Here is a 9,031-nt window from a genome sequence, read left to right as displayed (position 1 = left end):
GTGTTTTTCCTTTACTCTGCACAGGTGTTTAAATATATTTTTCTTGTGGGATTATATTTAATTCTTACCCATACATTGATAATTAATCATGTGATTTAGCTTGAGGTTGAGCTTCTTCCCACCTAAAGCTAATATAATGAAGCTATCATTTTTACAGAATTAAATATGATTTGCCACACCATCTCATTTAACCCTAACCAGAATCAGCTCATATGCAAAGGAAAGGAAACTGAGGGCAGTAACTTACTTAAGATCATCCAAAATCTGTTTATCCTTATTTATGCATTGTGTGGCCCTATTAATAGCCACTAGAAGGGTTTTCCACTCCATATGCAATTTTCTCCCTTACTTAATGGAAGATGTAAGCCTCAAAGACTGCAGGCTAAAAAAGGAAAAGCTCCACTTGGGTTGTTAATCTGGCAAATAAAACCTCAACTCCTGATGGAACTGAAAGCAGAAGGGGCTGAAGACAAGTTCAAGGTAGAGAATCTGGGCTGCTTTTCCTGGTTCTTTGAGTCAAATAGTGTGACTTCATTATTTTGTTTCAGTTTCCAATTCCAGAAACTGAAGATATGCCCAAGATCAAATGTAAATACAAAATGCATTCCAAAATTGAATAAATAATGTTTGGATTATCTGGGTCACTGGTCCCCTCCACTAATGTGTATCATCAGGAGGTGATGATGCCACGTATAATCAGCAATCCTTGATGGAAGACTTGATGCTTCATTCCTTGTAGGAGTTTAGAGTTCTGTCAGTTTTGACAACACTATTTTTGAAGGATGCCCTGTTCAGTCCTCTGGATTTTAGAATGTCATTTGAAATTCTTAGCCATTAAAGAAAAGGAAAATGAAGTCAAGTTTCAGAAAAAAATGACTCCAACTGGGAATAGCAACTTGAGCCAGGTAGGACATCATAAAGCATTAACTATGACTGTTGAAATAACAAGTTGGCAATCATAAACCAGAGTTCCATCAAAAATGAACAGTTGGCCCCCACTTTTTTCTTTTCTCTTACTTACAACTTTTATAATGCACTTGTCAGGCCAGTCATTAAATTCACATATGTATGCTGACCATGAAGACTGTTTTGGCTCCCAAGTTGGTCAAGTTGAACTGCTTTGAAGCTAGTAATCTGCTGAATTAGCTGACTTCTTTCATGGTATTCCAGAACAAACAGATCCCCTAAAAAAAAATCCCCACTTTTGTTATTTCAGGTGGTTTGAGTGTTATTCTTACATAAAGATGTTAAGGTTCTTCCAAGAGAGGTTCAAAGAGAATTTAGAAATAAAATGTTAAACAGATTAAAAGGACCTTTAATATAATGATCATGTCACTGGGTGAAAGATGAGGTTAAAATTGGTCATCACTTTACTGTATAGACAATCAATTTTTTTAAAAAAAAACTTGCATAGAAAGTTTCAAGGTAGCCCTAAATATCAGAAAGAAATGTCATCATTAGGACAAACATCAGACTAATAATAATAATATTTATAGAGTGCTTACTCTAACAACTCTGGGATGTAGGCACTGTTGTTGTCTCCACTTTACAGATGAGGAAACTGAGGCACAGAGACTAAGAGCATATGTTCAAGGTAAGACTGAAAACTTATCAGATTGAGGAGGCAATGTGGAATAATAGGAAGCATGGGTTTCAAAGGCATGCAGAAATGGGTTCAAATTCCAGCTGTGGCTTTAATTAGCTGAGTGTGCATGTTTATTGGCCTCTGAACCTCAACATCCTCATCTGTAAAATGGGATTATTATACCTTCTTTAAAGGGTGGTTTTGGGGATTAATTTAAATAATAGTAAGTAATAATAGCACTGGACATTTATTGAGTGCTTTCTATGTACCACACATTTTTCTAACTACTTATTGGTAATTTTTACAGCAACCCTATTATGTAGGTACTTTTATCTTTGTTTTTACAAATAAGGAAACATAGAGAAGTTAAATTGCTAATAGACAGCAGAACTGGGTTTCAAAATATCTAGCACAACAGTTGACATATAATAAACATTTCATAAAAATAACTCTATTATTGGTAGCTAGAGAAAGGGAAATGTTAGTAATATATCAGAATAACAGAATAACAGGAAATATTCCTTTTTCTCCTGACGGCTTTACTAATATATCTTGGAGAAGGACAAGGGTACAGAAAAAAACAGGTTCATGGTGTCTAGTTAGGATGATCTAAACCTATGCATTAGGATGAAATCAGAAAGGAATAAATAATTTTTAGCAAATTCAATTTCAACTCTGTTACATATGATACATTAAAACAACAGTTGCTACTTTTTCATCAATGGGGCCAGTCGAATGGACATATCTAAGCAAAGTATGAAGAATAATTGACAGTCATATCTAGATACGTATCCCCATGTTTGTGTATAATTAGGTTTTGTTGTCTCCTAAATGAATTTAGTAAGTCAGAGTCCTAAAATTATGTTTTGGGACTGTTTTTCTTTTGCACATTTTGCTATCTATCTTTTTTGACTATGAATGGTTGCCATGTGAGTTCACTTTTAAAATACTGTCAGTCCTTCAAGCTCCGTTTTCTCTTTTTTTCTCCTTTATCCCCAGCCCTATCCACGGCCCCAATACACACACACACACACACACACACACACACGTGCGCACGCACACACAGAGCTATACAAAAATAGGCTTTTAAAACTCCATCATTAAGCACAAAAAAAGCCAAGGAATGTTTGGAACTGGTATGTTAGAGCCAAAAAGGTTTATCACATTCTAAAAAAGAATCTTTGGCATTAATGGCAGAACCAATTGTAAAGCGTAATTACTGCACAAACACGCAGTATGTGTGAAGCTATGATCATTCCTTTAATCACTCATACCAGAGAAAATCTAGACAATGTGTCTGTTGTTTGAATTCCCATGCACACTCCTCCCATATCCTGCTAAAACATTGCTTTGCTTATACATATATTCATATAAAATGCAAGCAAACACCCAAGCTTAACTTCTTGGAAAATATGGTTTGAGTTCTTGAAGTAGACTTAGAGTCTGGGCTCCTCATACACATAAAAAGGGTGGGTCACATAGCTTTATGGCTCTAATTCAATAGCCAAAGGGTCTCATGCAAATGAATGGACACCTTTCACTCCCAAGCAATGGTGCTACTTAGGGAAGCTATGTGATAAACCCACTTTTAGGAAGGAAATCTATTTTTCACATTTGTGAAACAAATTTCCCAGCAGTATCTTAAAAGTGTCTTGGGTTTCTTTATACCACACAAGGATTTCTGTAACCTTCACAAACTTTTTTTTCTTCGTAACACAATTACAATGAATATTAATTATTATTGTAACGAATAGATTATTATGATGATATTAACGTGGGGGGGAGGGCTTGCTATGTTCTAAGCACCTTGCTAAGCCATTTATATGCATAGCTCACATCATTCAACACCACCACTTGGTAGATGCTATTATTATATTCATTTTCTTGATGATTTTATTTGGTCTGTCAATTTGTTAAAACACCATTCTCTAACTCTTCAGTTTTTAGATAAAATGTTTTTTTCATAAGAGTCATTTTAATTATTATGCTTCAAGTATTAATTTCTTCTTAATTTTCCTAAAATATATTTTTGTTCATTCAGTACATGGTTTTAGGAAGAAATGTAGGGAAGGGATGGAAGACATCAAGGAAAACTGGCAGGATGAGCTAATGCATGAACTGGAGTTTAAAGGACAAGAAGAACTAACCAGATGAACAAAGGAGAAAGAACAAGAGCAAGCGAGAGCAAGAACATGTGCAAAGGCACAAGGCATAAAACCGCTTTGTATGTTTAGATAATTATAAACTTGCTATGTATATTATCGGCAATAATGTTTGAAGTGAAAGGGAAAGAAAAGAAGATAGGCATCTTGTTGTGAAGGGCCAAGAAAGCAACACTAAGGCACTGAGACTCTATTCCATAAGTAATTAACTTGTGTAGGGCTTTAAAGGAACAAGAAAGGCTTATGTTTTAAAAAACCCACTTCAATGGCTACTGTGTCAGTCTAAGCAAAAAATATTAAAGTCCTGAACTTATATTCTGGCAGTATGAAATGAGCAGTAAGGGAAGATTTGAGAGCTATTTAGGAATCAAAATAAGCAAAATGTGTTTAATGCGGTGCAGGGTAGGGGGCAAGGAGGGGGTGGCAAGGAAAAGAAAATAACCTAGCATGACTGAGGTTTGAGATTTCGGAGAGGTACTAGTTAGGCCTAGACTCGCTGCTTAGAACACTCCCTCTCTCTTCCAAAATAACGGAAGCTCACACATAGAGATTTACTTCTCTCTCATAAAGAAGTTCAGAGATCGATGGTTCAGGCTAATATGGCTCCATGGGGTCAGTAAGGACCTATCCTGTTTTCATGCCTTATCCTCGTAGTACATGGCTTCCAACCCCACAGTCATCTCTTGTCCCAAGATGGATGCTGAAGGTCCATAATCATTCCAGTCATGTTGTAGGACAGAAGATGGAGGGAAGACAAGGACAGAGAGGGGCCCCTCCCAGCCAAACCAGCTCTCTTCTTTTCTTCCTGGAAATCCCATACAACACTGCCATGTCATTGGCCATAACTTAGTCACAAGGCTCTATTTAAATGCAAAGAAGGCTGGGAAATGAGTCATTCTGAGCAGTATTATGCCAGATAAAATCTGCAAATTTTGGCCAGGTGCAGTGGCTCACACCTGTAATCCCAGCAACTTTGGGAGGCTGAGGTGAGTGGATTACTTGAATCTAGGAGTTCAAGACCAGTCTGGGCACATGGCAAGACCTCATCTCTACAAAAAATTTAGCCAGGTATGGTGGTGTGGACCTGTACTCCCAGCTACTTGGGAGGCTGAAGTGGAAGTATCACCTGAGCCCAGGTGGTCAAAGCTGCAGTGAGTCAAGATCATGCCACTGCACTCTAGCCTGGGCAACACAGCAAGACCATGTCTCAAAAAAACAAAACAAAACACTCTGGGGATTTTTACTGAGGAAGGGAAAAAATGGTTTTGAAGATGGCATCTAGTAGTATATGGTTTGTGAGATTTGGTAAAAGATGATGCTACAAAGAGAAAATGAAGGAAAAACTTTTGCAAAGTATTGAAAAGAAGTGAGCAGAGAAAGAGGATCCAATGAGAAGAAATGACAGGGGAGGCAGAAGTAGAATTAGAATGATGTAAAAGAACCTAAAGAGGAGAGAATGTCATACTGGAGAGAGTGATCCAAAATACCAGATGTTACAGATTAGTCCAGAAAGATAAGAATGTTTATTGGAGTTGGTAGGTGGAGGTAATCACTGTTGGTTTTCTAAAGACCAGTTTTACTGGAGATGTGGAGGCAGATGCAGATGACAGTGGGTTAAAAGATGAATTAAAGATTATAAAATCAAGATGACTGTAGTCAATTCTTTTTAAAAACTTGGCTGGAAGGTAGTGTGAGAGAGTGCTACATTTAAAAGAGAGGATCCAGGGTTAAGCAAGGATTTTTTTAAGGATGTTAGATACTTGAGTATGTTACCAGCTGATGAGAATTAGCCCCTAGAAAGGGTCTAAAGATACAAACAAGAGTCTTTATTCTGTCATGATAACAGAATAGGCATTGTAAAATTAAAATAGCTAAAATTCAGAAGTGACATTTTAAAAGGAAAATGCTGAACTGCCATAAAAATAAGGAATCTACAGATACTTAAAACAATATGAAAAAGTAAACCCTGGGAGATAAACCAACAAAGCTGGTTTTTGTTTGGAGGATTTCTGAACCCAGAAGATGCTGAGCTTCTCTTTTGATGGCTGCATGGCATGTGGGGGACAAGACTTAACACCTAGGCCCTATGTTGCATTCCCAATAGAAGCAGCATGCATAAAGCTGGGATCCCAAAGGCTAACAACTCAGTATAATGGTGAACAAGAAATAAGCCTTGTCTTGCAGTAGGTGGCATTAAGAAGACTTTCCTCTCTCAACAGTAGTGTCACAGGATCCTTGGGGTGTCACTTCACCAGCCAGAAACCTCTGTGGCCAGTGGTGCCTTTGCCCAAGTTTTGCTCAAGCCAGCTGGGCTTGTTCCACCCACTCGGCCTGGCAGGCTGCACTTGTTTTGCGCTACAGGCTGGGATCCCATGCCTGCCAAGGGTGAGCCAAATGCAGAGTGGCAAGGGGTAGGTGAACAAGCAAGTGCAGTGTCCAGCCACTGCGCACAGCCAGGCATGCTGGGGAATGTGGTGGTGCCCAGAAGCTTGGAGGTGCCAGGAACCAGAGAGCCCCAAAGAGGGTGTCACAGCCCTGGCTCAGGGAGCTCCTAGGTCTGGGGTCCCCAAAGGGCCGCTGCTCTTCTCTCTCCTTTTCATTGATCACAACATGGCAAGCCAGTGGCGGGGGTGGGGCAGGCATATTTCAGCCTTCTTTGCGTTACAGCTCTTTCAGTCCTGCCATTTGGTGGGTCCCGAGTTCTTGTCCCACATCCAGGAAGAATGAGGTATGCAGATATCTGGGGGGTGAGCAAGGTGAAGAGGTGCTTTACTAAGTGATAGTACAGCTCTCAGGAGACTGGAAGTGGGTAGCTCCTTTCCACAGGCAAGTCATTCCAGCATCTATGCAGCCCTCAGCAAAGAGGAGACCTGGAATGGGCAGCTTCTCTCTGCAGGCAGGTCGTCCTGGTGTCTGTGCAACCCTCAGTGGAGAGGAGACCTGGAGTGGGTAGTTCCTTTCTTCAGGCAGGTCGTCTCAATGAGTGTACAGCTCTCAGTGGAGAGGAGACCCACAGTGGGTAGCTCCTCTCTGCAGGCAGGGTGTCCCCATCTGCCCAAGTCTGTCTGAGTCCTGGGGTTTTATGGGCTTCAGAGGGGAGGTAGTGCCTGCTGATTGGTCCATGGGCAGTCGTGAGCATACCTGGAGAAAGCACCATAAGGTCTCATTCTGGTTTGTGGAACTGGCAGCCAAGCCCAAGCCCCCAGGCTTCAGGCCGTCCCTGACTTGAAGATAAGGTTTCACTGGGGACCTTCCCCTTTCAGCCCAGGAGCCTGCCTGCCTCCTACTGCTATTCATGGTGCCCAGGCTGTTCGTGTTGAGGGGTGCGTGCAGGCCTGCACCAAGCCACCCTCAGCACCCCCTCGGCCTTCCTCCCATGCTTGTCAGTGCCCAAAGTCTGGAGGGAGCCGAGGCGGCAGGGGGCTGGTGTGTCAGTGCCACCCTGAGCGTGTGGATACCTGGCTGGATCATGACAGCACCTGGGCTCAGCCACAACTTTGCTCCAAAATCAGAGCAGGCGCCAGGGGCTGGGAGAGGCCAGGCAGCAGGAGCAGACACTTCCAAGCCTGCAGGGGGAGCAGGGCTTCCTGAGCCCTGGGGAGCACAGAATGCCCGGGTCTGTAGCCATGGCTGGGTGGCTGCAGTTGCGCCTGGGAGCAGGGGCTCCTGCCCCACCAACTTGGAAGGAGGCAGGGCTCCCGCCTCTTCCTGGCTCCCGTTGGATCTGTGGAGTGCAGCTCCTGCCACACCCCCTAGACTACACCCCCAAGTCTTTGCAGCAGCCACTCCAGATGGGCTGCTGCTGTTATCGGTAGTGCTGAGTCGGGGGTGGGGGTAATTCTGCCTGAGAATTGGTAACCACACATTCATTCACACAATTCAAGTGAAGAATTTAACTTTAAAGTGGTCCTTAACTGATAATGTTTCCAAGTCATCGACAGAAGCAAACACAAATCTCTTCTGAAGGAAATCAGCTCTAAATTGAGCCTCGAAGAATTACCCTAAAAGGTAAGTTCCAAGGAACATCTGCAACTCCTAGTTAGATGTCACAAAGTACATAAGGATACGAGTCAGGACTTTCACCTCCAGCCGTGATAGAGTAAGAGGAACCAGGTTTATCCTCCCACCCAAAAAAATAGAAGAAAGTACATGAAATAACAGTTTTTCAGACTTTGGACATTAGGCCACAATAGACAGTGACCTCTGAGAGATGGGCAACAAGCCACGTGATCCCTAACATTGTTTCAGTTTACTGCCTGGAGAGAATTTCCTGCCTGTGTGCAGGTAGGGGGACCCCAGGCTGAGAGCAGTGGTAGGCCTGAGTTGAGGAGATAGAGCTGGAAGTCTAGGAAGATCAAGATGACTAGACATTGCAGGGCACCATTACTGGCGTGGGAAGAACGGCACAGAAAGAGGACTCTGAAGATTTGCAGAGTCTCCCTCATGTTTTCAGCTCAGTACTACTAAGTGCATGCAGGCTAAGAAGTTACCTAAGGCTAGGAAAGAACCACCTGAAAGGATTACAAGATACAATCTCAAATGCCCACAGAAGACTAGTAATTGTTCCTGCTTCCACTAGCCAGAGTCAAAAATCTCCTACTCATGTGGTGGAATACTACTTAGCAGTGAAAAAGAATGTGCTATAAACACGCAATATGAATAGACCTCAGAATAATTATACTGAGTAAAAGAAGCAGACTAAAAAGAATACATACTGTATGATTTTATTTATCATAGTTCATTAACTACAAGTTAATCTATTCTGATGACAAACTGGTTTCTTAGAAACAGAAGTGTGGGTAGGGGCAGGGAAGTTGTTGAGGGAGGATTCACACAGGGACAGGAGAAAACTTGGGTTCTATCCATTATTTTGATTGTGGTGATGGTTCACAGATGTATACATATGTCAAAATTTATCAGACTGAACACCTTAAATATGTACAGTTCATTGTATGCCAATTATATCTCAATAGTGCCATTTTAATGATGCTATTAAAATTTTAAGAAAAATCGCAAGAAAAGAAGGAGCCACAAGTAAGGATCATGAAGATGACAGATAAAATAATAAAAATTCTTTATATAGAAAGGAACCTCCTTAACTTATAAGGGGAACTACAAAACCTACAGCAAATACGTTTTATGATGAAATGTTGAAAGTATTCCCTTTAGGATCAAGGGAAAAGAGGGAGGTCAGCTAGGATCTGAATGCACTGTGTATCCTGGCCAGTACAATAAGGTAAGAAAACGAAATGAAATGATAAAGACTAGAAAATAAGAACAAAAG

At 41.3% G+C, this 9,031-nt stretch overlaps 1 annotated feature.

The window, feature by feature from the left end:
- Positions 7,268 to 7,562: a silencer, noted in NCBI's record as "tiled region #9357; K562 Repressive non-DNase unmatched - State 8:EnhW". NCBI's record gives its function as "represses a minimal TATA promoter and a strong SV40 promoter by Sharpr-MPRA in K562 cells {active_cell/tissue: K562}" and the evidence as "EXISTENCE:reporter gene assay evidence [ECO:0000049][PMID:27701403]".

Source organism: Homo sapiens, chromosome 11 (genome assembly GCF_000001405.40).
Source record: "Homo sapiens chromosome 11, GRCh38.p14 Primary Assembly".
NCBI classification, from domain to species: Eukaryota; Metazoa; Chordata; class Mammalia; order Primates; family Hominidae; genus Homo; species Homo sapiens.
This window is presented reverse-complemented; position numbering and strand designations above follow the sequence as displayed.